General features: G+C 42.8%; 1 long non-coding RNA gene across 2 annotated transcripts, besides 2 other annotated features; it reads left to right on the top strand.

The window, feature by feature from the left end:
* The first annotated feature begins 150 nt into the window (after nucleotides 1–150).
* LOC105374426 (uncharacterized) lies at nucleotides 151–24,379 on the top strand. Of its 2 annotated transcripts, NR_188374.1 has the most exons (3): nucleotides 151–220; nucleotides 5,331–5,460; nucleotides 23,328–24,379. It is a non-coding gene; the product is annotated as an uncharacterized LOC105374426 (long non-coding RNA). The 2 variants fall into 2 exon arrangements; NR_188375.1 differs by lacking the exon at nucleotides 23,328–24,379 and having other exon boundaries at nucleotides 5,331–7,694.
* Nucleotides 20,742–21,941: an enhancer, noted in NCBI's record as "P300/CBP strongly-dependent group 1 enhancer chr4:41914902-41916101 (GRCh37/hg19 assembly coordinates)". NCBI's record gives its function as "activates an origin of replication core promoter dependent on BRD2, BRD4, P300/CBP, MED14 and CDK7 cofactors, with strong dependence on P300/CBP, by STARR-seq in HCT116 cells {active_cell/tissue: HCT116}" and the evidence as "EXISTENCE:reporter gene assay evidence [ECO:0000049][PMID:35650434]".
* Nucleotides 25,383–26,274: an enhancer, noted in NCBI's record as "H3K27ac-H3K4me1 hESC enhancer chr4:41910569-41911460 (GRCh37/hg19 assembly coordinates)". NCBI's record gives its function as "activates a minimal SCP1, AML or CMV promoter by ChIP-STARR-seq in naive H9 embryonic stem cells {active_cell/tissue: H9 hESC(naive)}" and the evidence as "EXISTENCE:reporter gene assay evidence [ECO:0000049][PMID:30033119]".

The raw sequence follows: 26,533 nt of genomic DNA, 5'->3' as shown, positions 1-26,533 counted from the left end.
AATTCTTTCAATAAGTATTTATGAGGCCTGCTATGTGACAGGCTCCATACTTGGCACGGCGGATAAAAAGAGGAATATGACACAGATTGCAAAAGAGAAACAAGTAAACGGAAATCAGAGCATAGTGATTGTGTAATATGTGTAGAGGCTGATTTAATCACAGGGAGCACAGAGGACGGTACCTAAATCAGAAGGGATCTGGGGAGGTTTCCTGGAAAAGGTAAGTCCGGGCCTTGATCTTGAACGACAAAAAGTTGGCTGAAAGTGTTACTGGTGTAGGGTGTCCAAGTTCTTGGCGTTTTGAACATAGAATTGGACAAAACGCACAAAGCAAGGAAAGAATAAAGCAACAAAAGCAGAGATTTGTTGAAAATGAAAGTACACTCCAGAGTGTGGGAGAGTGAGACAGCAGCTCAAGGGCCCTGGATACAGAGTCTTCTCGGGTCCAAATACCCCCTAGAGGTTTCCCATTGGCCACTTGGAGTTCACTTCATGTAAATGAAGTGGTGGCCCGCAATCAGTCTGAATGGTTGCGCAAAGCAACCAATCAGAGGCTGAAGAAGTTACAAAGTTACACTTCTATGCAAACGTCTGATTGGTTACAAAAAGCAACCAATCAGAGGTACTTTCAATTTCCCAAATCTGCGCAGAACAGGTTGGGGCTTGCAAAGGGAGTAGTATCTGGCCCTTTATTCACTTAAGCGTGGACAGTAAGGATTTTCCTTCAATTTAGTTCTAGGAAGTCAGCGAGAAAGGGCATTAGGTTCCCTACCGCCATACCATATTCTTCTGCCTTAAAACGGGAAGGGAACTCCATACAGAGTAACAGAAAGTGCAAGAAGTAACAGGACAGCGAGAGGACTAGTTGAGTGTGACCAGAATGATGGTACCAGTCAGGGGATTGTGAAAGATTTGCGCTAGAGAGGCAGGCAGGGGTGTACTGAGGAAAGGATCTGAACTTGACCCTGAAATCCAGAGAACCATGGAACAATTTTAATCAGAAGTGTGACATCCTGAGATTTAGAAAGTTCTCTCTGGCAACAGGGTGGAGGATGAACAGAGGGGCAAATTAAAAGTCAGGAAATTCGTTGTGAAGCCATTTATATATATATAAACTAAAAATAAAATCCTAAGTAAGGGGTCTGTCGACTGACTGGATAGATCCCTTTCTTGGCCAAGGGGACCCCAGCCATGATGGGACAGGAGATCAGACATGCCTCATTATACCCCCTCCCTTTTGTAGTTTAGACACAACTGACTAGCAACTACTTAGGCGTGGAAAGTTAGGGTTTTCCTTTCAAATTAGTTCTAGGAAGTCAGCCTATGTTTAACATGTTAATGTTACAATAAAGATCATAACATTGACAGAACAAACTCTTTGTGGGAATAGGATACCAAATTATAAACAGGACCTAAGGCCATGCCAGGCAAGGGTTAAGTCATGCACCCCCTACACTTAAAAAATAAACTATGTTCTACCACAAGAGGTTTTTTTTTTCCCTCTGGCAGCTAAACAACCACTGGCCTAGAGAGAAGCAATATTAAAACAATTACAACTAATCCAGCTCACAGACACTAACTGAACCCCTGCTATACCAACCATAGCTACAGCTTTGATTGCACAAGAGACTGATTTCAGTAACGTTCTCCAGATAAGACCACTGACCATAGGCTGGTTCTGGCCACTTTACAGAGGCCATGCACTTGTGTGCCTTCGTCTCTGCTTCACCTTTTGAGGTACAGAGCCTAACTGTAATACATTAAATATTAAGTCTCCACCCCAAGGTGAACACAGGTTGTATGTAACATGCATGTTGTTCCATACGCATGTATCAGGACTACTTTTATGAATATTCATAGCTCTTCCTGTAACCTGTTGAATATGTATGTTTAGCCAACCTATTCAGCATAAAGCTCCTACCCCAGCTCCTCTTCCTTTAAAGTGCCTGTCTCTGGTCCTTGCTGGAGGCTGTGCTTCCCAGCCCATGAGAGGGCCACCTTGCAGGCTGTATCTCCTTATAAGAAATAAAGTCTCCTTTTCTGAACATATAGATCTTGTGAGTTTTAAGTTAACACATACGTGTAGGAAAGAAGTGATGAGATTCTGGATTGAGGCAGTGTTGTTGGGGAAAAGAAGAGGAAAGATGACTTGGAGGTGGCTTCTAAGATGTGGTGACTAACTAGGTATGGGTGTGTAGGAAGGGGAATGCCATCTGCTGAGACCTGAAGAAGTGTAGAAAAAAATGCATGAGAAGAGCAGTAGATTGAGAATCAAATATGAAGGGGCTAGGGAGAGGGAGTGGACTGGGGACCCACGGGAAAGCTGGCACCCTGTCGGAAAACCATGAGACTGTAATGCTCTTCCTCTGTCAGATGTGTGGTTATCCTCTAGTATCCATGGGCAGACCAGGTGCTAGTCAGATGCAGCCGAGAAATCAAATGGGGTTCTCTTGAAACAGTACAAACCTCTTTTTCTAAGGCCACTGCCCAAGTTCAGGTCCTTCAGATCTCTAGCCTGGATTACTCATCCTCCTAGCTGAGCTAAAATGCCACCTCCTCTGCACTCTTCCCATATCATTTACTCCATATTTTTATAGCAGTTACATTTTTTAACATTTCTTAGAATTATATGTCTCCTTGCCAGTGTGTGTGTTTGTGTGTGTCTATGGCAGTCAACTCAGGCTGTCATAACGAAATACCATAAAGTGGGTAGCATAAGCAACACAAATTTGTTTTCTCACAGTTCTGGAGACTGAGAGGTTTAAGATTAAGGTGCCAACAAGGTAAGTTTCATTTTAGCCGCTGGCAGCTGCCATTTTCTGTGTGCTCAATTTAGGAGGAGGTAAATGATCTCTGTCTTCCTCTCTTCCCCTTCTTATAAGGTCGCCAGTTCTATCGGATTAGGACCCCATCCTTATAACTTAAGTTAGCCTTAATTACTTCCTAAAGATCCTGTTTCCAAATATATACAGTCACATGAGGGTTAGGGTCTTGACATATGAATTTTGAGGGACACAATTCAGTCCATAGCTATATATATTTTATATATATGTATGTAAGTACATATTTTTTTACTGATTTAAAGGATCATCTTATTACAAAAATATTAAAATACAAAATGTTCTCTATTGTAAATTCCATATAGCTAATTAATCTCACAGATACTTCTTTTGATTTTGCTGAACTCTTATATCCATAGCAATATACAGTTGCCATTGATGAATGAGTGTAATTTCATGAATGTTTCTTGATATTTTTGTTAAAGAGTAAAATGAAAGTGAAACAACTAAGACACATATCTTCAACTTTGCATATTAAAATAATTGCAAGTTTACTCTCCTAAGTAGTTGTATTTAGTGTATGAGAATAGCCCTAATCCCTGCCAAAATTTGCTATTTTTAGTTCTTACCAAGATTAGGTATATAAAATGGTATGTCATTTTTTCAATTTGCATTTTCGTGAGTAGTAGTGAGGCTTAGCATCTTTTCACAACTTTATTGGCCATTCAGATTTTCTCTCCTGTTGGCTTTTTTTTTTGAGACACAGTCTTGAGCTGTCGCCCAGGCAGGAGTGCAATGGCGCAGTCTCGACTTGCTGCAGCCTCCACCTCCCAGGTTCAAATGATTATCCTGCCTCAGCCTCCTAAGTAGCTGGGATTACAGGTGCCTGCTACCACGCTGGGCTAATTTTTTGTATTTTTAGTAGAGATGGGGTTTCAGTATGTTGGCCAGGCTGGTCTCAAACTCCAGACCTCGTGATCTACCCGCCTCAGCCTCCCAAAGTGCTGGGATTATAGGCGTGAGCCGCTGTGCCTGGCCTCTGTTGCCTCTTTTCTATTGAGCTGTTTGTCTTTTGTTGTGGTCCATTATTATTGATTTGTCGGCATTTTAAAAAGTTTTGTTAAAATTGTGTTTTGATACTAGTTTTTTGTTATATTGTTACTGGTAGAGGGTCTTGACTGCAAGTTGTCCAGATTCTTGGCATTTTGAACAAAGAATTGGACAAAACGCCCAGCAAAACAAAGAAAGAATGAAGCAATGAAAGAACAAAAGCAGGGATTTGTTGAAAACGAAAGTATACTACACAATGTGGGAGCTGCCCGATACAGAATCTTCTCGGGTCCAAATACCCTCTGGGTTTCCAACTGGCCACTTCATGCTCACATCATGTAAATGAAGTGGTGGCCTGCAATCAGTTGCTTTGTGCAGCCAATCAGAGGCTGAAGTGGAGTTACAAAGGTCACACTCCTGTGCAAACATCTTCACCTTCCCTTTCCTCTCTTTCTCTTCTTATAATGCCACCAGTTTTATCTGATTAGGACCCCATCCTTATAACTTCAGTTCACCTTAATTACTTCTTGAAGATTCTGTCTCCAAATACATACAGTTGCCTGAGGGTTAGGGCTTTGACATATGAATTTTGGGGAACACAGTTTAGTCGGTAGCTATGTATGAAGTTACAAAGGTGAAGGCTAAGGTGAAGTTACAAAGTTGCACTTTCACACTAACAAATACTGAGTGAGCCTCAGTCAGTTAGATTGGTTGCGACAACCAATTTCCCATCTGCCACGCAGAAAAGGGGGGGTTTGCAAAGGGATAGCCTTTGGTCTGTTTATTACTTAGGCATGGAAAGTTAGGGTTTTCCTTTCAATTTAGTTCTAGGAAATCAGCATGAAATGGCCTTAGGTTCCCTGCCTCCAGACCCTATTCTCCTGCCTCAATATGAGTTGAAAAATTTCATTTCCCTTTCAAAGCTAAATAAAAATACTAAATGACTATACAGGAGAAGGATGGTGTGACAATCTGTCCTGCAACCTTAGACCCCAAGCTGAAGTAGAAACTGTTAGGCCATGACTCTGAATCTGCCAAATGAAGACAAATGAAAAAGGGGCACAAACCAGGTTGCTTTCCAAATGGTCCATAGTTTCCCTGCCTGATTATTGAAAGATGATACTCCCCATTAAAACTCTTTTTAATAGGTTGAGTTCCTTTTGCTGACTGAATCAACTTAATCATATTAGTCTAATAATGGAGTTCTTTTGAGTTCACTCTTTGCTTCTTCTGCATTCTCAGATGTGCTGAATATAGACTAATAAAGACCACAAGTGTGAGCCTATAATGGAGGTTTTAAAAAGGCTTCTAAGAAGTAATCATTTGTTTTGAATGAATAAAAATCAGAAGGTAACAACTTTGTTAGATTTGTACTACAGTTATCCTTACAGTGTTCAATTTTACCGACAGCTAGATTTTCTTCTTCTTTTGTTCTTCCCCTAAAGCATAAGCATTTCAAAGGCAGACTGTATTTTCCCCATTTCTGTGTCATTTCCCCAGGTTTCAACCAAAGCCATAAATGCTGATGTGGATATCAGGACAGTGTTTCAAGCAATTTAGATACAATATAAAATATACTGATGCCATAGTAGAAGAAGTTGAAGCCACTTTGCCAAGATATTTGGTTCTGGTAAGATATTTTAACGATTGGTTTTAACTGTTGAATGCAATGACATCTATCTTTTTTCCTGCAAAAAGTATCATTAATAGTTTTATGTTTTGTGTTCTGTTTAATGTATAGATAATATTTGAATCTCTTCTTTTATTGTTTTTAACCATTGGAATTTGTCTTTTTTCCTACTGTTTTCCTACTGTATTTCTTTCTTTTTTATTTTTTATTTTTTGAGATGGAGTTTTGCTCTTGTTACCCAGGCTGGAGTGCAATGGCACGATCTCAGCTCACTGCAACCTCCGCCTCCTTGGTTCCAGCAATTCTCCTGCCTCAGCCTCCCGAGTAGCTGGGATTATAGGCATGCGCCATCACACCTGGCTAATTTTATATTTTTAGTAGAGACAGGTTTTCTCCATGTTGGTCAGCCTGGTCTCGAACTCCTGACCTCAGGTGATCCACTCACCTCAGCCTCCCAAAGTGCTGGGATTACAGGCATGAGCCACTGCGCCTAGCCCCTACTGTGTTTCTTTACTTTCTTCCTTGATCATTCTTCTTGGTAATGAGATAACTTCTCAAGTATACATGGTTGTCTTAGTCAGGACTCTCTTGACTGCAGGTGACAGAAATTAAGCCCAAACAGACTTATAGGGGACAAAAGGCAAAATAATATGACTACTCTGAAAAGATCAGAGGTAGACAATCTTTTAGTAGACATGCGTATATTTAAGAGCCCAAATGACATCAAAGAAAACTGTGTTCTTATCTCTGCTTCTCTCTGAGTTGACTTCATTGTCAAGTTGATTCTTCTTCAACTTTAGTCCATATACCACCAGATTAGTAAGACTAGCCTGTAGAAAGTGCCTCTTACTTGATACTTTCAATTTAATGAGCCAGGCTTGATTCTCACTGGATCAAATTTGGTCCCATAAAAATTTCTACACCAATCATTTAGTTTAAGAGACAGATTGACCATGCTTGGGTCATTCACTCACTCTTGTTTGAATGGAGAGTTCTGAAGGGAATGTATGCAAGGTCATTACAGCAGATAGCTAGCATAGTATGAGGAGGACAGGAAAGGGCACCCCACCCCCATCCCCACACACACCAGGAGTGTTGGGTAAGCATCAGGGGATGGTTGGGCTGTTGTTTACTGTCTCTCTAGAGTAATAATTAGTTACAGTAAGCACCAGGGAAGGGCAGTCTCCTAGTAGATAGAAAATACCTGAAACTGGTGATCAGCAGCTTCCTGATAAGATCTCAGGAGTTGGGCGAGTAGGCTCAAGCAAGACAGCCCACCCCAGGGGAAGAATCAGGGGAGGAGTAATGCAACATCCCAGAAGTGTGCCAACATGCTAAGCCCCAGGTGAAAAGGTCAAACCATGCACTTGATCTCTCAAGTTGCCCACTTGGCCCTCCTCCAAGTATACTTTACTTCCTTTCATTCCTTTCTGCTATTTGCCTCTCGGTTGAATTCTTTCTTCTGAGGTGGCAAGAATTGAGGTTGCTGCAAACCTATACGGATAGAGATTCGCAGCTGGCAACTGGATGAACCTCATTTGACACTCTGTGTGTTGCTATAATAAGAACAATGTATGGACGCCAGGTACAGCAAAAAAAAAAAAAAAAAAAAAAAAAATTATTCTGCTACACTCCCTCCATAGGGTCAGGGTGAATTCCTAAGTGTTATCTAACTTATTTTAATTGAAGGTAAGAAAATCCAAATGTAACACAAACCCCGAAGCTGAAGCAATTGACTACCAAGAGGCCATTATTCCATTTGGCTAGAAATTGGCTGATGAAACAAGAATTGATTCCAGAGTTATTGATGACTTGGCTCTCCCCCCTGTTTTCAAGGGGGATTCTACTGAACCATCAAGTCATCAATTTGCTCATTTCTGCTTCCATCAGTGATTAATAATTCTGTAGTTGGATAGGGTATCTTTGCAATTGCTAAGTGCTAAGTCATTCATTTCATTAGTAATACATTCCTACTTTTATTTGCTGCCTGAAAAGTAAGCTCCATAAGCTCTGCAGTTATAGCTTGAGCATGAGGTCTTAACTAAGAAATGAAAATTATTGTTACCTTTAAAAATTGGTAATGTAAGAAAAACTATAAGACTTTAGAATAGGTGCACGTTCAGTGGAATGCTGAAGACTGGGTATTATCTGATGCTGTATCAGTGTATCTTTGTCTCTGACTAGGCTATGTTTTAAACTCTTTAAATTGTAAATAAATGATAGCAATGCAACTACTTCTTATCTATTACCTCTCTATTGATGATGTGACAAATTATGACAAGTTTCATGACTTAAAATAACACAAGTTTATTATCTTATAGTTCTGAAGGTCAGAAGTCCCACACAGGTCTCCCTGGGATAAAATCAAGGTCTGCAGGGCTCCACTCCTTTCTAGAGGCTCCAGTGGAGAATTAATTTTCTTCCCTTTTCCAACTTTAGAGCTCACCTTTGATTACTGGACTCCTTTCTCCGTTTTCAAAGCCAGCAATGTTTCATCTTTCTGAACATTTCTCTATAGGCACAACCCCCTCTGACTCTCTTCTGCCATCCTCTTCCCCATTTTTTTTTTTTTTAAGACAGAGTCTCACTCTGTCTCCCAGGCTGGAGTGCAGTGGCATGATCTCCACTCACTGCAACCTCCACATCCTAGGTTCAAGTGATTCTCCTGCCTCAGCTTCCTGAGTAGCTGGGAATACAGGCGTGTGCCACCATGCCTAACTAATTTTTTTTTTTTTTTTTTTTTGCATTTTTAGTAGAGATGGGGTTTCACCATGTTGGCCATGCTGGTCTCAAACTCCTGACCTTAGGTGATCCGCTCGCCTCAGCCTCCCATAGCGCTGGGTGAGCCACCATGCCTGGCCCAGCCTTTTCCACTTTTAAAGACTTGTGATTATTTTGGACCCACTTGGCTAGCCCAGGGTACTCTCCCTATAAGGTCAGATGATTAGTAATCTTAATTCCATCTGTAACCTTAATTCCCCTTTGTCATGTAATTTAAGAAATTCACAGGTTCTGAGGATTAGGATGTGGACTTCTTGGGATGAGAGGCAGGGAAGGGTGGTATTATTCTGCCTACCACATCTATAGACATGCAAATAAATTCTGCCAAATGGAGACTGAATTGACTTTTCTGCCTATCTACTCCTATATAAAAATCCAGTTTTGTTTCTATTTGTAAGTTCATTTCAATATTCCTTTATTCTATATAAATTTGTAGTCTTTGAATGGGGTGTGGTGGCTCACTACTGTAATCCCTGCACTTTGAGAGGCTGAGGCAGGAGGATCATTTGAGGCCAGTAGTTTAAGACCGGTCTGAGCAACCTAATGAGACTCCTGTCTCTTAAAAAAAAAAAAAAAATTTTTTTTTAACTAGCCAAGCATGGTGGTGCAAGCCTGTAGTCCTAACTAGGTTTGCTTGAACTCAGGAGTTCAAGGCTGTAGTGAGCTATGATTGTGCCACCGCATTCCAGCCTGGGCAAGAGAGCAAGACTCTCTCTCTTAAAAAAAAAAAAAGGAAAAAACTTGTAATCTTGACTTCTCCATTGAATCAGTGTTAACAGCCTTCCCAGTCCCCTCATTAATTAATGAGCTACACAAAATCTTTGACATGTATTTATTCTATAGATAAAATAAAATAATTACTTTATAAAGATTACATAATTATATTGTCAAATTTTACCTTTTTTGAAAATGTATCAGAGACTTAGCTACTAGACATAGAAAAAATATATGTTTACTAGAAATATATTCTAGAGCTTCAGAAAGTGAGTCTATCCCCCACTCTCTTCCATCTTCTTATAAATTTCAACAGGCACAGGAGATGGACCTCACTGGGACTGTAATGGCTAGTGGTTGAAAGTTGGAGATCAGATTGCTTCTCCCTGACACTTGAAACTCAACTTTGCACCATAATCAATTCAAGGGAATTGTTTAAAATCACCTTTTCATTTATCTAACTGGGTCCTGGAGAAATTTTACAATCTACTTTTTTCCCTGGTTTTCAAAGTTTCGTTTATTTGAGTAGTTTCTAGCCATTATCATGTTTGCTCCTGAGAGGCATGCTGAGAGAGAGGGAAAAAATTCTTGGGCTAATTACAGAGTCTAATACACTGAGGTGGAGGTGGACTCCTGGCAGGCTCAAGGTATAGCTAATAAAGATGACAGTTTTGAAGCTGCAGGAAGCAGTGGCCCAGGCAACAGCAGGCCCCAAAGCATGCCCCATCCAGCCATGCACAGAGAAGTGTGTCTCAGCATGGAGTGGGGGAAGGGGAGACACAGACAGATGCCTCCACAACAGTGCCTCCCACCCCACCTGGCCTGTACCCTCTTTCTTTTTTTTTTTTTTTTTTTGAGACAGTCTTGTTCTGTCACCCAGGCTGGAGTGCAGTGGCACGATCTCGGCTCATTGAAACCCCTGCCTCCAGGGTTCAAGAGATTCTCCTGCCTCAGCCTCCTGAGTAGCTGGGCTTACAGGTGTCCACCACCATGCCTGACTAATTTTTGTATTTTTTTTTAGTAGAGATGGGATTTCACCATCTTGGCCAGGCTGGTCTCAAACTCCTGACCTCGTGACCCACCTGCCTCGGCCTCCCAAAGTGCTGGGATTACAGGCATGAGCCACCTTGCCCGACCGCCTGTACGCTTGTAGCTATGCCTTTTCTAGTCCTCTGGCGAGCCTGCCGTCCTAACAATAGCCGAGATGGTGGCTCTCCTGTGCATGCATGTACATGTGTGTGTGTAGACATGCACACCTTCCTTGCCCACAGCTCCAGGAAAAGCAGCCCCAGCAGAGCCACAGTGGCTTTCTCTGTGGGTGGACAGTGCACCTGTACATACAAACCCCACTTAGGACTCAGATCCAAGCAGAAATACCTCCTGCAGCCTTGCCCATCACCAACACAGTAGGAGAAGGTCCTCCATGGGGGAGGGGGGTGCCCACTAGAGGCCTCAATTAGCTGGACATGTGGCAATGGCCCATGGCAGACTCACCAGTTGCCTTTCACTGCTTTGATGTCACTCAGGAGGTTCCAGGCCAGAAAGATGCCAAAGATCTGAAGGAAGGTGATACTCACAAAGACCTAGGTAATGACGATCAGGTTGTCCAGCAGCCGTTTCTCAAACTGACCCATGCAGCCTTTGGTGTGGATGGAGCCCTGCTGCTCCAGCTCCAGTTTAAGCCAGACATCACAGTGAAGTGGCGTCATTGTCTGGGGTAGCATCCGAGGTTCGTTGCCTCATGCCAAGGAAATCAAGGACATAGATACACAGGAGTCAGTTTAAGAGTGGAGGTTTAATAGGTGAAAGAAGGAGAAAAGAAAATAGCTTTCTTTTCTGCAGAGAGAGAGGGGCACCCAAGTGGGTCTTCTGGTCCCATGATGAAGTGCACAGGGGTTTTAAAGACTGGCTTGGGGAGGAGCTATCTGATCTACACAGGGCCCAAAGAATGGTTGGACCAGGTGAGACATTTACATAGTTCAAGAGGAAGCTGGCCATCCCACCCTAGTCTTCTATTATGCAAGTGGCTTCTCTACTTTACCAGCTCCGCATTGTCTGCTCCTTACTGTTCATGTGGTTGGCAAGGAAAAGGGAAGATGGAGCCGCCATGTTGAACATGCCTAGCCCCCTGGTAGGCTTCTCCTATTGGAACAGCTGCTAACATTCACCCATGCAAGCTTCCAGCTTGCTTATTTATGTCTGCAGCTCAATTTTACAGGCAGCTTTGTGTTAGAAACACATGTTGTAAAGGGAGGGGATGTTCATGGAAACTCAGAAAAAGGAAGTCATGTAGAGAGTGCTGCAGTGGCAGCAGTTGTAACCTCTGGTCGGGAAGGCAGCCATTCCTGCAGCATCCCTACAAGGAGGAAGCTGGGGTAAAAAACTCAACCTCAAAACTGGCTGCACCTATAGTCCCAGCTACTCGCAAGGCTGAACAAGGAGGACCACTTGAGCCCAGGAGTTTGAGGCTATAGTACACTATGATTGCCTTTGTGAAAAGCTACTGCACTCCAGCCTGAGGAATACAGGGAGACTTGTCTCTAAAAACAACAACAACAAAAACCCAACCTCTTTATTCCTACCTCCCTCTGATCTCCTACCAGGGATCCCCAATGGCCAAATCCAAATTGAAGCCAGAGAGCAAGTAAATTCATTGAAGCAGCCCAAGCAGGTCAAATTCCCAGGGTCAAGAACAGGATGGAGAAGTGTGGAGAATGAATCTGGAGAGGCAAACAGAAGATATTCAGCACAAACCCTATGAGATGGGTAGTATTATTGTGCCCATTTTATATATGTGGAAATTGAGATGCAGAGGGGTTAAATAATGCACCCATAGATAACAGGGGGATAAAAGTGGCATTGAAATCCAGAGTCTGTGTTTAATCACTGTCTATACTGCTACCACTTTTTTCTCCATGATATCTCCTGCATAGTGCCATATGGAATAGAGGTCCTCAACAAATACATTTTAAAAGAAAACAAAAGGAAAGAAGAGATTAAGTAAACTATTTATGAAGATTTTAAGTTAGTTCTCTAGAACAGTGGTCGCCAACTTTTTGGTATCAGGGATTGGTTTCATAGAAGACAATTTTTCCACAGACGGGAGTAGGGAATGGTTTTGGGATGAAACTGTTCCACCTGAGATTATCAGGCATTAGAGTCTCATAAAGAGCATGCAACCTAGATCCCTTGAATGTGCAGTCCGTAATACGGTTCGAGCTCCTATGGGAATCTATTGCCACTGCTGATCTGATAGGAGGTGGAGCTCAGGTGGTAATGCTTGCTCCCCCAGCACTCACCTCCTGCTATGAGGCCCAGTTCCTAACAGGTTAGTACTGGTCTGTGGGCTGGAGGGTGGGGACCCCTGCTATATTAGTCCATTCTCACACTGCTATAAAGAACTTCCCAAGACTGGGTAATTTATAAAGGAGAGACATTTTATTGACCCACAGTTCCATAGGGCTGGGGAGGCCTCAGGAAACTTGCAATCATGGCAGAAGGGGGAGCAAGCACGTCCTTCTTCACATGATGGCAAGAAGGAGAAATGCCAAGCAAAATGGGGGAAAGCATGTTATAAAACCATCGGATCTAATGAGAACTCAATACCATAAGAACAGCAGCATGGGGCTAACTGCCCCCATGATTCAATTACCACCCACCAGGTCACTCCCATGACATATAAGGATTATGGGAACTACAATTCAAGATGAGATTTGGATGGGAACACAGCCAAACCATATCATTCCAACTCTGGCCTCTCCTAAATCTCATGTTCTCACATTTTAAAACACAATCATGCCTTCCCAACAGTCCCCCAAAGTCTTAACTCATTCCAGCATTAACCCAAAAGTCCAAGTCCAAAGTCTCATCTGCGACAAGGCAAGTCCCTTCCACCTATGACCCTGTAAAATCAAAAGCAAGTTAGTTACTTCCTAGATACAATGGAGCTATAGGCATTGGGTAAATATGCTTGTTCCAAATGGGAGTGCCGAGTCCTACCCACAGACCCTGACCCAGTGACTGATGAACAAATGCACTCAGACACAGATATCCAATGAAGGAGCGGGCTAGGGGACGGGGCCACTCACAGACCCTGAGGAGGGTGCTGTGAAGAGTCAGCAGCCATGGCCTCAATTAGCCAGAGAAGTTCGCATTTATTTAGTACAGATTAAATGACAAAGGTCTTGAGTAAACACCACTAGAGGGTAATTAACATTGCCGACCTCCCAAGTAGAGAGCAGTTATGCACCACAGATGATCAAAGGATAGTCTTAGGACCACATGAGTAAACAAGCTATTTAGATAAACTCCTCTACATTCCTATGTAAGCTTTTAAGAGAATTCAGCTGCCTTCAGTCAAATCTTTTACTGAAGCTATGCAAAACTCCCAGCATTCCAAGAAGGTTTGTGTCTATTTCCTATAACTTTATCTTTATAATTTCTCCCACCACCCTGACTGATTCCATACAGAAATTGGCCAAAATGAGGGTGCTATAGGCCCCAAGCAAATCCAAAAATCCAGTGGGACAGTCAAATCTTAAAGCTCTGAAATGATCTCCTTTGACTTCATGTCTCACATCCAGGTTATGCTGATGCAAGAGGTGGGCACCCACAGTTTGGGCAGCTCCATCCCTGTGGATCTGCAGGGTACAGACCCCTCCCAGCTTCCATCATAGTCTGGCATTGAGTGTCTGCAGCTTTTCCAGGTGGAAGTTGCAAGCTGCTGGTGAATCTACCATGCCGGGATCTGGAGGATAGTGGGCCTCTTCTCACAGCTCCACTAGGCAGTGCCCCAGTGGAGACTCTGTGTGGGGACTCTAACCCCACATTTCCCTTCCACACTGCCCTAGCAGAGGTTCTCCATGAGGGCTCCACCCCTGTAGCAAACGTCAGCCTGGACATCCAGGCATTTCCATGCATCCTCTGAAATGTAGGCAGAGGTTCCCAAACCTCAATTTTTGACTTCTGTGCACCCACAGGCTCAACATCACATGGAAGCTGCCAAGGCTTGGGGCTTGCACACTCTGAAGCCACAGCCCAAGCTGTACCTTGGCCCCTTTCAGCCATGGCTAGAGCTGTTGGGACACAGGGCACCAAGACTGGGTAATTTATAAAAGAAAGAGGTTTAATTGACTCACACTTCCGCAGGGCTGTGGAGGCCTCAGGAAACTTACGATCATGGCAGAAGGGGAAGCAAACACATCCTTCTTCACATGGCAGCAACAAGGAGAAGTGCAGAGCAAAGAGGAGGAAACCCCCTTATAAAACCATCAGATCTCATGAGAACTCACTGTCATGAGAAGAGCAGCATGGGGGTAACTGCCTCAATGATTCAATTACCTCCCACCAGGTCCCTCCCACAACATGTGAGGATTATAGGAACTACAATTCAAGATAAGATTTGTGTGGGAGCACAGCCAAACCATATCACCTCCTCTAGAAGAATGTCCTAAGCATGGAGTCCTAATTAGGGAAAAGGAGTCAGGCTGGCAGGATCTGGGGAAAGCAAAGATATAAAGCAGATAAGCTATAGGTCTACCTTTCTTCATGGTCCAGGATGTGTAAACAAATAGAGGAAGAACATAAGCTGTAGGTCTGCTTTTTGTTGTTGTTGTTGCCCAGGATATGTAGTCCTCCTGCGCAGATAACATACCTAACTCACAAACTTCCTGCTTATCATCAAATTCCTCAATTTATCAAACAACTCAGCTGACAGAAGAATGCAAGTTAAGCTCCCTGCTACCTTGGCATTATCAATCAGCCCAAAAACCATTCTATAAAATCTCCAGCAAGCCTGTATTTCCTTGCAGTCACCTCCTCTTCTGAACGTATTTTCACATTTTTTTAAATCTTCCTTCCTTCCTTTCTTTCTTGCTTGCTCTGTCGCCCAGGCTGGAGTACAGTGGCATGATCTTGGCTCACTGCAACCTCCACCTTCCAGGTTCAAGTGATTTTCCTGCCTCAGCCTCTCAAGTAGCTGGGATTACAGGTGTACACCACCATGCCCAGCTAATTTTTGTATTTTTTTAGTAGAGACGGGGTTTCACCATGTTGGCCAGGCTGGAAATCTGCCTTTCTTTACCTACAACTGTCTTGGTAAATTATTTTACCCCCATGCCACCAGCCCAGATAGTCACCCCTCACCCAGGACATTTGGTTGACAACAGTAACAGATGCTCATTTCTGGCAAATTTTGTTAAACTTGATAAATCCTTGTTTTTAAGGATTGCTTAGGTATACTCTGCCTGAGGTGAGGCCTGTGAATTACAGAAGCTGTCTCCAAAGCCCTCTCCATGATTCTATGTAATCACATGGTTTCTTTTTTCTTTTTGGTGGTAAAATATACATAAGATTGACATGATAACCATTTTTCAAATGCCACACATTTCAGTTGCACTAAGTATATTCAATTGTTATGCAACCATCACCACTATTCATCTCCAGAACTTCTTCAATTTTCCAAACAGAAACTCTGTACCCATTAGATACTAACTCTCCTAATCCTCCTCCCCACACATTCTAGCATCTACCATTCTTCTTTCTGTCTCTATTGATAAAAGACATACTTTAGGTAAATTAAATCTGAAGGAGTTTAATCGAGCAATGAACAATTCATAAATCGGGCAGCCTTTCCAGCCAGAGTGGGCTCAGAGACTCCAGTGCAACCATGTGATAGAAGAAGATTTATGGACAGAAAAGGGAAAGTGATTTACAGAAAACAGAAGTGAGGCACAGAAACAGCCAGATTGGTTACAGCTTGGCATTTGGCTTATTTCAACTTGGTTCCAACCGTTGGCTACATTTGATCGGCCAAAACTCAGAGATTGGCTCAAGTATAGGTTATGGTCTGTTTACACCTCCACTTGTTATAGTTCACGATGTACAGAGAAACCCTTAGACCAAACTTAAAATATGTAAGGAGGCAGCTTTAGGCTAAACTTGATTTAACACTATGAATTTCACTACTCTAGTTACCTCATATGAATGGAGTCATACAATATTTGTCCTTTCGTGTCTGACTTATTTCACTTAGCATAATGTCTTCAAGATTCATCATTCAAGATTCATGTTAGGATTTTATTCCTTTTTAAGGCTGAATAATATTTCTTGTATGTATAGACCACAATTTCTATATTCATGCCTCCATCAAAGGGACATTCGAGTTGTTTCCACCTTTTGGCTATGGTGAATAATGCTGCTATGAACATGGGTGTACAAATATCTGTTTGCTAAGAATTAAAAACGCTCCTGCTTTTAACTCTTTTAGGTACATACTCAGAAGTGAAATTGCTGGATCATATGGTAATTCTGTTTAATTTTTTGAGCAAGCTTTATACTATCTTTGCATAGCAGCTGCACCATTTTACATTCCCATTAGTAATGCTCATGGATTCCAATTCCTCCATCTCTTCAACACTGTTATTTCCTGGAGATTGTTTTGCTTTGTTTATTATAGCCATCCTAATGGGTGTGAAGTGGTATCTCGTTGTGGTTTTGATTTGCATTTTCCCAGTGATTACTGATATTGGGCCTCTCTTCATGTGCCTACTCTGGCCATTTGTGTCTTCTTTGGAGAACTGTCTATGCAAGTCATTCACCCATTTTTTAATCAGATTGTTTGTTTTTTTGTTGTTGGATTGTATAAATTCTTTATATGTTGAGGGCATTAATCTCTTATCAGATATATGATGTGCACATATTTCCCCCACTCTGTGGGTTGTCTTTTCACTGTCAATAATGTCTTTTGATACACAAAAGTCTGTGTATCAAAAGTTTGATAAAGTCCTGTTTACCTATTTTTTCTTTTGTTGCCTGTGCTTTTGGTGTCATATGCCAACATCATTGGGTAATCCAGATTGAGGGCTCAATAAATACCTTTTGAGGATCAAACACCTAAACATTAAGAGCTAAAACTATAAAACTCTTAGAAGAAAATACAGGAAAAAACTTCTATTTACAGAATTAGGTACTGAGAGGGCAATGAAAAAAAATGCTAAATCTTCCTTTCAAATCCAGTAGGCAAACTGTGACACAGAAGCTAATGCAAACAAGAAAGTAACATGTGCTGTCAAAAATTACGTATCAAGTGCTTTTGGAAAGTTGAAAGTAATGGCAGATCAGGGAGAATTTCATGGATACCATTTGGGCAAGCTCTTGATGGGTATTTAGAACTTAGACTATGGACATAAATATAAATAGGCTGAAAGCATATTGTTTGCATGCATGGGAACTAGTGGTAGTTCCATAGCTAATATGTTGAGTATGTATGTATAAAGGAAGAGCAGGAGTTAAAGCTGAAAATACAAGCCTGATGCATGCATAGGAGAGAGAACACACCAGATAATACTTAAATCCAAGACATCCCTAGTACAAACATTCCAAATTACCTTTCTAGGGTATTAACATTTCTGTTAATAACCAGAAACCTGGGAAATCTATCCTTCTGTAGACTACTAAGAACATTTCCTCTTGCAAAGTGAAATTTTCCTAAAAGAAAAGGAAACTTACATAAATCCTTGTGGCCCACAGTTTCACCTCGTCCCATAGTAGGCTTGGGAAGGATCACCTGCCATGCTTTGGCCCCAAGCTGGTTTAGCAGCTCCTCTTAGGTCTAATAACCTTATGTTCCAGCTAAGCTGCCCCAGGAGGCTGAAACCTAACTGTATTGCTTTACTGGGGCCTAGATAGCTTTCCACAGCAAGTGAGGTGCTGAGGTTATGTAAGGTACATAATGTTATGTAGGCCGGGTGTGGCGGCTCACCCCTGTAATCCCAGCATTTTGGGAGGCTGAGGTGGGCAGATCATGAGGTCAGGAGTTCTAGACCAGCTTGGCCAACATGGTGAAACACCGTCTGTACTAAAAATATAAAAATTAGCTGGGCATGGTGGCAGGTGTCTGTAATCCCAGCTAATCGGGAGGTTGAGGCAAGAGAATTGCTTGAACCCGGGAGGTGGAGGTTGCAGTAAGCCGAGATCATGCCACTGCACTCCAGCCTGGGCAACAGAGCAAGACTCCATCTTGGAAAAAATTTTAAAAATAATAATAATAATATCATATACATCTAAAGTGAAATTTTCTAAATTATCAATAATAATTTTAAAAATCAGGGCTGGGCACGGTGGCTTATGCCTATAATCCCAGCACTTTGGGAGGCTGAGGGGGGTGGATTACTTGAGATCAGGAGTTTGAGACCAGTCTAGCCCACATGGTGAAACCCCATCTCTACTAAAAATACAAAAATTAGCCGGGCGTGGTGGCAGGTGCCTGTAGTCCCAGCTACTCAGGAGGCAGAGGCAGGAGAATCACTTGAACCCAAGAAGCAGAGGTTGCAGTGAACTGAGATCATGCCACTGCATTTCAGCCTGGGCAGCAGAGTGAGACTCCATCTCAAAAACAATTATAATAATAATAATTTAAAAAATCAATCATGCGGCCTTGTGTGGTGGTTCATGCCTATAATCCCAGCACTTTGAGAAACCAAGGCAGGCGGATCATTGAGGTCAGGAGTTCCAGCCCAGACTGGCCAACATGGTGAAACCTAGCCTCTACTAAAATTACAAAAATTAGCTGGGCATGGTGGCAGGTACCTGTCATCCCAGCTACTCGGGAGGCTGAGACATGAGAATAACTTGAACCTGGGAGGTGGAGGTTCCAGTGAGCTGAGATCACGCCACTGGACTCCAGCCTGGGCGACAGAGTGACTCTGTCTCAAAACAAAACAAAACAAAACAAAACAAAATCAGTCATGCTAAAGGAAAGACTGAATGATCTTTCTGATCTCTCTTTAGAAGATAAGATTGTATAAGCCTAGGAAGGGCTGAAAAAAAAGGAAAATATTCTAAAATTGTTGTCTCATGAAGAGAAGATCAAATAGTTTGGAGCTAAAACATGTAGGGAAAAAAGTATCATAGAGGTGAGTTAGGCAATTAATTAATAAACATGTTAATTAATAAGCATGTGTTACTTACCTACATTTGTATGATGTTTGTAGTATTTGTTATTCCAAAACTCTGCTAATATTTTGGATTTTAAACAAATTCTAGGCTGAACACGGTGGTTTACGCCTGTAATCCCAGCACTTTGGGAGGCCGAGGTGAGTGGATCACCTGAGGTCAGGAGTTCGAGACCAGCCTTGCCAACATGGTGAAACCCTGTCTCTACTAAAAATACAAAAATTAGCTGGGCATGGTAGCACGCATCTGTAGTCCTAGCTATGCGGGAGGCTGAGGCAGGAGAATTGCTTGAACCCAGGAGGTGTCGGTTGCAGTGAGCCGAAATCATGCTATTGCACTCCAACCTGGGCAACAGAGTAAGACCCTGTCTCAAAAAAAAAAAAAAAGAAATTCTAAATAAATTTTCATTTTTGTAACCTAACTTTGTATTAGTAATGTGAGTTTTTTGTTTTTTTTTTAAGAACATCCCCAAATATAGAAGAACTTCAAGCCATTCAAAATCGACATCTGCCTTTGGTCTTCATTCATTTATTCAACAAATGTTTGTTGAACTCCTACTGTGTGTCAGGCACTGTTTGGTCCTCGAACACAGCAGTGAGCAAATTAGATACAGATAGCCTTGTAGAACTGCCTGCAGTTCTGGAGTCCCTCCCAAAGACTTATATCAACTCCTGGCCCTCATCTGCCAAACTGTAGGAGCTTAAATGTGGTTTTGGGGCTCAAGGGAAAACAAACACCTTACTAGCTCCCACGTCCTCCTCTTTCTCTAGTTTTTGGCTTCTCTCTGGGGAAAGAGTTTCTTCTCTCTTGGAGTACATATCCCTCAAGGGTCTACTCCATGTTGTCTTTATTCCAGTGCCCAGGCTGAGGAAATTGTCCCCATATGGGACATGTGGTCTTGTGGCACAGGGAAAAGAGAGTGGACAGGCCACGTGAGGACTTTTAAAGCATCTGCTTGGAGTGGTATATATCACTGCCACTCACATTTCACTGGCTGGCCAAAGCAAGTCATGTGACCAAGCCCGAAGCCAATGTGGGAACTATAGTTCTCCAATAGGGAAGGACTCCAAATATAGCTGTACTTATTTGTAACAATAATGCAATCTACCTCATAAGCCCTCTGGGATTGATTAGAGATAAAGATATCTTTGGTTGGGACTGTGGCTCACGCCTGTAATCCCAGCACTTTGGGAGGCCGAGGCAGGCGGATCACCTGAGGTCGGGAGTTCGAGACCAGCCTGGCCAACATGGAGAAACCCCGTCTCTAGGAAAAATACAAAATATTAGATGGGCATGGTGGCGCATGCCTGTAATCCCAACTACTCGGGAGGCTGAGGCAGGAGAATCGCTTGAACTCGGGAGGTGGAGGTTGCAGTGAGCCGAGATGGCGCCATTGCACTCCAGCCTGGGCAACAAGAGCAGAAACCCTGTCTAAAAAAAAAAAAAACAAAAAAAAAACCCTTTGCTATCATTTCTTTATCTCTAAAGAAATGTTAGAGCCGTCTCCAGAATGTTGGCTTTCAAATGTCCATTTGTAGAATATGGATGAAAACTAACAATCACACTGACTTTGCTGAAGTACTTTAAAATAGATTATAAGTCAGAGCTGTCCAAAATAAATATTATGGAAGCCATGAATGTAACATATTTTAGTAGAGTGAAAAGAAACACATGACATTTCTTTTAATAATATATTTTACTTAACCAACATATCCAAAATAATATCATTTTATTATGTAATCCATATAACAAAATATTGAGGTATTCTACATTCTCTTTTTCATTTAAGTCTTCAAAATCCACTGTGTATTTTACACTTAAAACATATCTTAGTTTAGACTAGCCAAATTTCAAGTTCTCAATAGCCACCTGGACTTAGCAACTACCTTATGAGACAGTGAAAGTTTAGACAATCTAACCTTGTAGAAATAGACTGGTTCATTGCATGTGTGGGTTCACCTTGCCCGCTGCCTAGACAGAGTGGATTTATCAAGGTGGGGGAATTGCAATAGAGAAAGAGTTATTCATGCAGAGCCAGCTGTGGAGGAGACCAGAGTTTTATCATCACTCAAATCAGTCCCCCTGAGCATTTGGAGATCAGAGTTTTTAAGGATAATTTGGTGGGTGGGGAAAAGCCAGTGAGTTGAGAGCACTGATTGGTTGAGTTGGAGATGAAATCATGGGAAGTTGAAGATGTCCTCTTGTGCTGAGTCAGTTCCTGGGTGGGGACCACAAGATCAGATGAGCCAGTTTATTGATCTGGGTGTGCCAGCTGATTCATCAAGTGCAGGGTCTGCAAAATATCTGAAGCACTGATGTTAGGAGCAGTTTAGGGAGGGCCAGAATCTTGTAGCCTCCAGCTGCATTACTCTTAAACCATAATTTCTAATCTTGTGCCTAATTTGTTAGTCCTACAAAGGCATTCTTGTCCCCAGGCAAGAAGGTTTGTTTTGGGAGAGGAGTGTTATCATTTTTGTTTTAAACTATAAACTAAGTTCCTCCCAAAGTTAGTTCAGCAGATGCCCAGGAAGGAACAAGTACAGCTTAAAGTTTAGAAAAAAGATGGAGTCAGTTAGGTTAGATGTCTTTCGCTGTCTCAGTCATAACTTTGCAAAGGCCGTTTCAGATAGACCCTCAAAACTAGAAGTCAAAATCCTTTCTTGTAAAATGCAGCTTTAATACATTTCAGGAAAAGCAAGGTGATTTCAGATATAATTATTCTGCTATTGAATATTTAGCTATATCTTCTTTTATCTCATGAAGAAATATATCCAGGCAAATTAAAACTTTTTTCCAACTTTTATTCAGATTTTGATTTGGTGAGCAGGAGCCAGCTAGGCCAAGAGCATATGAACTTGACATGGATTTCTGATGAATAATGTTTCTGCCAAATCTATCTCCTAATTACCCATCTACAGAACTAGGGTGGGCAGAATGGCCTCTTGACAGACCACATTATTTTATTTGTGTTTATGAATGTCGTATGTTAGCACCAGTATTAGGCCGTTCTTGCATTGCTAGAAAGAAATACCTGAGACTGGGTAACTTATAAGAAAAGAGGTTTAATTGGCTCACAGTTCTGCAGGCTGTACAGGAAACAGTGCTGGCATCTGCTTCTGGGGAGGCCTCAGGAAGCTCTTACTCATGGCAGAAGGTGAAGTCGGAGCCGGCACTTCACATGGTGAGAGCAGGAACAAGATGGGGGTGGTGCCACACACATAAACAATCAGATCTCGTGAGAACTCACTCACTATCAGGAGGATAGCACCATGAGGGATTGACCCTCCTGACCCACCAGGCCCTACCTCCAACCAGGCCCAACTTCCAGCACTGGGGATTACAATTCAACTTGGGACTTGGTGGGGACATATATTCAAACCATATCTGCACCAATTCCTTTAATGTATATGTTTATAGTTTGGTTTTCACTTTTGGATGAAAGGAAAGAAATATCTATGTTTTCTCTTAACATTCTAAATAGAAGTGTCCTTCCTTGTAGATAATGACAAAATTGTTCTATTGTCATGAATCAGACAAAGCATTACACGACAAAGTTTCCAATGTCAGCAAGGTGAGGAAATTTTCATTAACTGTGGAAAAAAAAAAAAAGAAAATAATCTGAGGCACTGGTTTTCTAATTTTTAAGTGTTCAATGTTAAGCGAACCTACGCAGTAGGTCAATTTGTTTACATAACCCAGAGGAGTGCTTTGTGGTTAATTCATGTGGTAGGTCCCTAATTATATTGAAGATTATATCCCTAACACCCACCGCAGAGCTGGGCAGGTCATATGCATCCATGAATATTTGCTGAATTGAATTAAAGATGGCCATGTAGAAGCCTGTAGTGTATGGGGCTGTGTCAGAGGGAGAGTAGATGCTGGAGAAGATAGGGGAGTAAAAATTGGGCAAGGAGTGCTCAGCTCAGAATGGCAAGAGTCCTGGAGACATCCGCGCAAAATGCTGAGATGAGTTTAAAGGTCTCTCAGCAATTCTATACTTCAAAATACATACTATGAGCCAGGCGCAGTGGCTCACACCTGTAATCCCAGCACTTTGGGAGGCCGAGGCAGGTGGGTCACTTGAGGTCAGAAGTTCGAGACCAGCCTGTTCAACATGGTGAAACCCCATTTCTACCAAAAAATACAAAAATTAGTCAGGCATGGTGGCACACGCCTGTAATCCCAGCTACTTGGGAGGCTGGGGCAGGAGAATCGCTTGAACCTGGGAGGCAGAGGTTGCAGTGAGCTGCGATCACACCACGTACAACAGCCTGGGTGAAAGGATGAGAATTCGTCTCAAAAAAAAAAAAAAAGAAAGAAAATAAAATATACTATGTAGTAATAAGAAAGCCATTCCTAGTCAATAGAGTGGGCTTAAAAATCTTTAGTATTAAAACATTGTGTGTTTTATTTTGCAGATACAAAGGAAGTTTTTCTCGGCCTGGTCTTGACTTAACAGTGACTTTAGTACTATCCTGTTCAGACACCTCAAGTCTTCAGAAGAAAGCAGATGATGTGAAAGTATATCTAGGTCCCCAAGAGAGATGCAAATTACCAGCTGTATTCCCTCATGTCAGGAAAAAGAGGGTCCCATATATTTCTTGTCTAATACAAAATCGCAGAAGGCTGAAACACATTAACTAGAAAAGAGAATGCAATTTGGATTCAACTACCTGCTGTCATGAAAGGTAACAGTAGTTAATAATGTTTGCAATTCATGGGATGTTAGAGATAAAAGAGTCCTCAAATATCCTCCAGCAAAATCTCTCTCCTTTTACAAATGGACAAACTAAGGACAAGAGAAGAAAGATGAGTCAAGCCTTCAGTCTTATGCTGTGATCTGATGGTGAGCTATAAAATCACTGTCAAGAGAGCCCTTCCAACCACCTGTGCTCCTGGAATTCATGAGGGAAACACATTCCTAAAACAAAACTAGCAACATCAAGATATTACCAAATGCTAGGCCGGGCGCTGTGGCTCATGCCTGTAATCCCAGCAGTTTGGGAGGCCGAGGCGTGTGGATCATGAGGTCAGGAGATCGAGACCATGGCGAAACCCCGTCTCTACTGAAAATACAAAAATTAGCTGGGTGTGGTGGCGGGTGCCCATAGTCCCAGCTACTCGGGAGGCTGAGGCAGGAGAATGCCGTGAACCCGGGAGGCGGAGCTTGCAGTGAGCCGAGATCGCACCACTGCACTCCAGCCTGGGTGACAGAGCAAGACTCTGTCTCAAAAAAAAAAAAAAAAAAAAAAGAAATTACCAAATGCTCTTTTTCCACTCTTATTCTTCAATCTCCAGTAATTTAGCACTCTGTTAACTATATTATAATCTAAAAAGTTCAGGAATAAGCTGGGCACTGTGGTTCAAGCCTGTAGTCCCAGCACTTTGCAGATCACTTGAGCCAAGGAGTTCAAGACCAGCCTGGGCAACCTGATGAAAGCACGTCTCTACCAAAAAAAAAAAAAAAAAATTAGCCTGGTATGGTGGTGTGAGCCTGTAGTCGTAGCTACTCGGGAGGCTGAGGTGGGAGGATCACTTGAGCCCAGGAGCTGGAGGCTTCAGTGAGCCATGATTGCTCTACTGCACTGCAGCCTGGGCAAAAGAATGAGAGCCTGTCTCAAAAAAAAATCTACTGTAGGGGTGGCTGGCAAGATAGCCAAATAGGAAGAGCTTTGGCCTACACCTCCCAGCAGAAGGTAAGTGATTTCTGCATTTCCTTTTTTTTTTTTTTTTTTTTGAGATGGTGTTTCACTCTCGTTGCCCAGGCTGGAGTGCAGTGGTGTGATCTCGGCTCACTGCAACCTCTGCCTCCTAGGTTCAGGCAATTACCCTGCCTCAGCCTACCGAGTAGCTGGGATTACAGGCATGTGCCATCACGCCTGGCTAATTTTGTATTTTTAGGAGAGACGGGGTTTCACCATGTTGGCCGGCTAGTCTAGAACTCCTGACGTCAGGCCATCCACCCACATCATCCTCTCAAAATGTTGGGATTACAGGCATGAACCACCACACCTGGCCTGCATTTCCAGCTGAGGTACACAGCCCACCTCACTGGGACTGGTTACACAGTGGGTGCAGCCCACGGAGGGCAAGCTGAAGCAGGGTGGGGTGTCACCTCACCTGGGAAGTGCAAGGGGTCAGGGAACTCCTTCCCCTAGCCAAGGGAAGCCACGAGGGACTGTGCTGTGAGGAATGGTGCATTCCAGCCCAGATACTACACTTTTCCCATGGTCTTGGCAACCTGCAGACCAGGAGATTCCCTTGGGTGCCTATGCCACCAGGGCCCTGGGTTTCAAGCACAAAACTTGGAGACCATTTGGGCAGACACCGAGCTAGCTGCAGGAGTTTTTTTTTTTTTTTCGTACCTCAGTGGCACCTGGAATGCCAGCCAGACACAACCTTCACTCCCCAGGAAAGGGGGCTGAAGCCAGGGAGCCAAGTGGTCTAGCTCAGCAAATCTCACCACCATGGAGCCCAGAAAGCTGAGATCCACTGGCTTGAAATTCTCACTGCCAGCACAGGAGTCTGAAGTTGACCTGGGATGCTTGACCTTGGTTGGGGGAGGGGCATCCACCATTACTGAGGCATGAGTAGGTGGTTTTCCCCTCATAGTGTAAACAAAGCTGCTGGGAAGTTTGAACTGGGTGGAGCCCACTGCAGCTCGACAAAGCCTCTGTAGCTAGATTGCCTCTCCAGATTCCTCCTCTCTGGGCAGGGCATCTCTGAAAGAAAGGCAGCAGCCCCAGTCAGGGGCTTCTAGATAAAACTACCATCTCCCTGGGACAGAGCACCTGGGGGAAGGGGCTACTGCGGGCACAGCTTCAGCAGACTTAAATGTTCCTGCTTGCCAGCTCTGAAGAGAGCAGTGGATCTACCAAGCACAGTGCTCGAGCTCTGATAAGGGACAGACTGCCTCCTCAAGTGGGTCCCTGACCCCCGTGTCTCCTTATGGGGAGACACCTCCCAGCAGGGGTCAACAGACACCTCATACAGGAGAGCTCTGGCTGGCATCTGGCGGGTGACCCTCTGGGATGAAGTTTCCAGACAAGGAACAGGCAGCAATCTTTGCTGTTCTGCAGCATCCACTGTTGATACCCAGGCAAACAGGGTCTGGAGTGGACCTCCAGCAAACTCCAGCAGACCTGCAGCAGAGAGGCCTGACTGTTAGAAAGAAAACTAAAAAACAGAAAGGAATAGCATCAACATCAACAAAAAGGATGTCCACATAAAAACCCCATCCACAGGTCACTAACATCAAAGACCAAAGGTAGATAAATCCACGAAGATGAGGAAAAACCAGTGCAAAAAGGCTGAAAATTCCAAAAACCAGAACACCTCTTCCCTCCAAAGGATCACAACTTCTTGCCAGCAAGGGAACAAAACTGGACAGAGAATGAGTTTGACGAATTGACAGAAGAAAGTTTCAGCAGATGGGTAAAAAAAACTCCTGCAAGCTAAAGGAGCATGTTCTTTTTTTTTATTTTTTTATTTTTTATTTTATTTTATTATTATTATACTTTAAGTTTTAGGGTACATGTTCACAATGTGCCGGTTAGTTACATATGTATACATGTGCCATGCTGGTGTGCTGCACCCATTAACTCGTCATTTAGCATTAGGTATA

The sequence above is a fragment of the Homo sapiens genome, chromosome 4 (genome assembly GCF_000001405.40).
Source record: "Homo sapiens chromosome 4, GRCh38.p14 Primary Assembly".
NCBI classification, from domain to species: Eukaryota; Metazoa; Chordata; class Mammalia; order Primates; family Hominidae; genus Homo; species Homo sapiens.
This window is presented reverse-complemented; position numbering and strand designations above follow the sequence as displayed.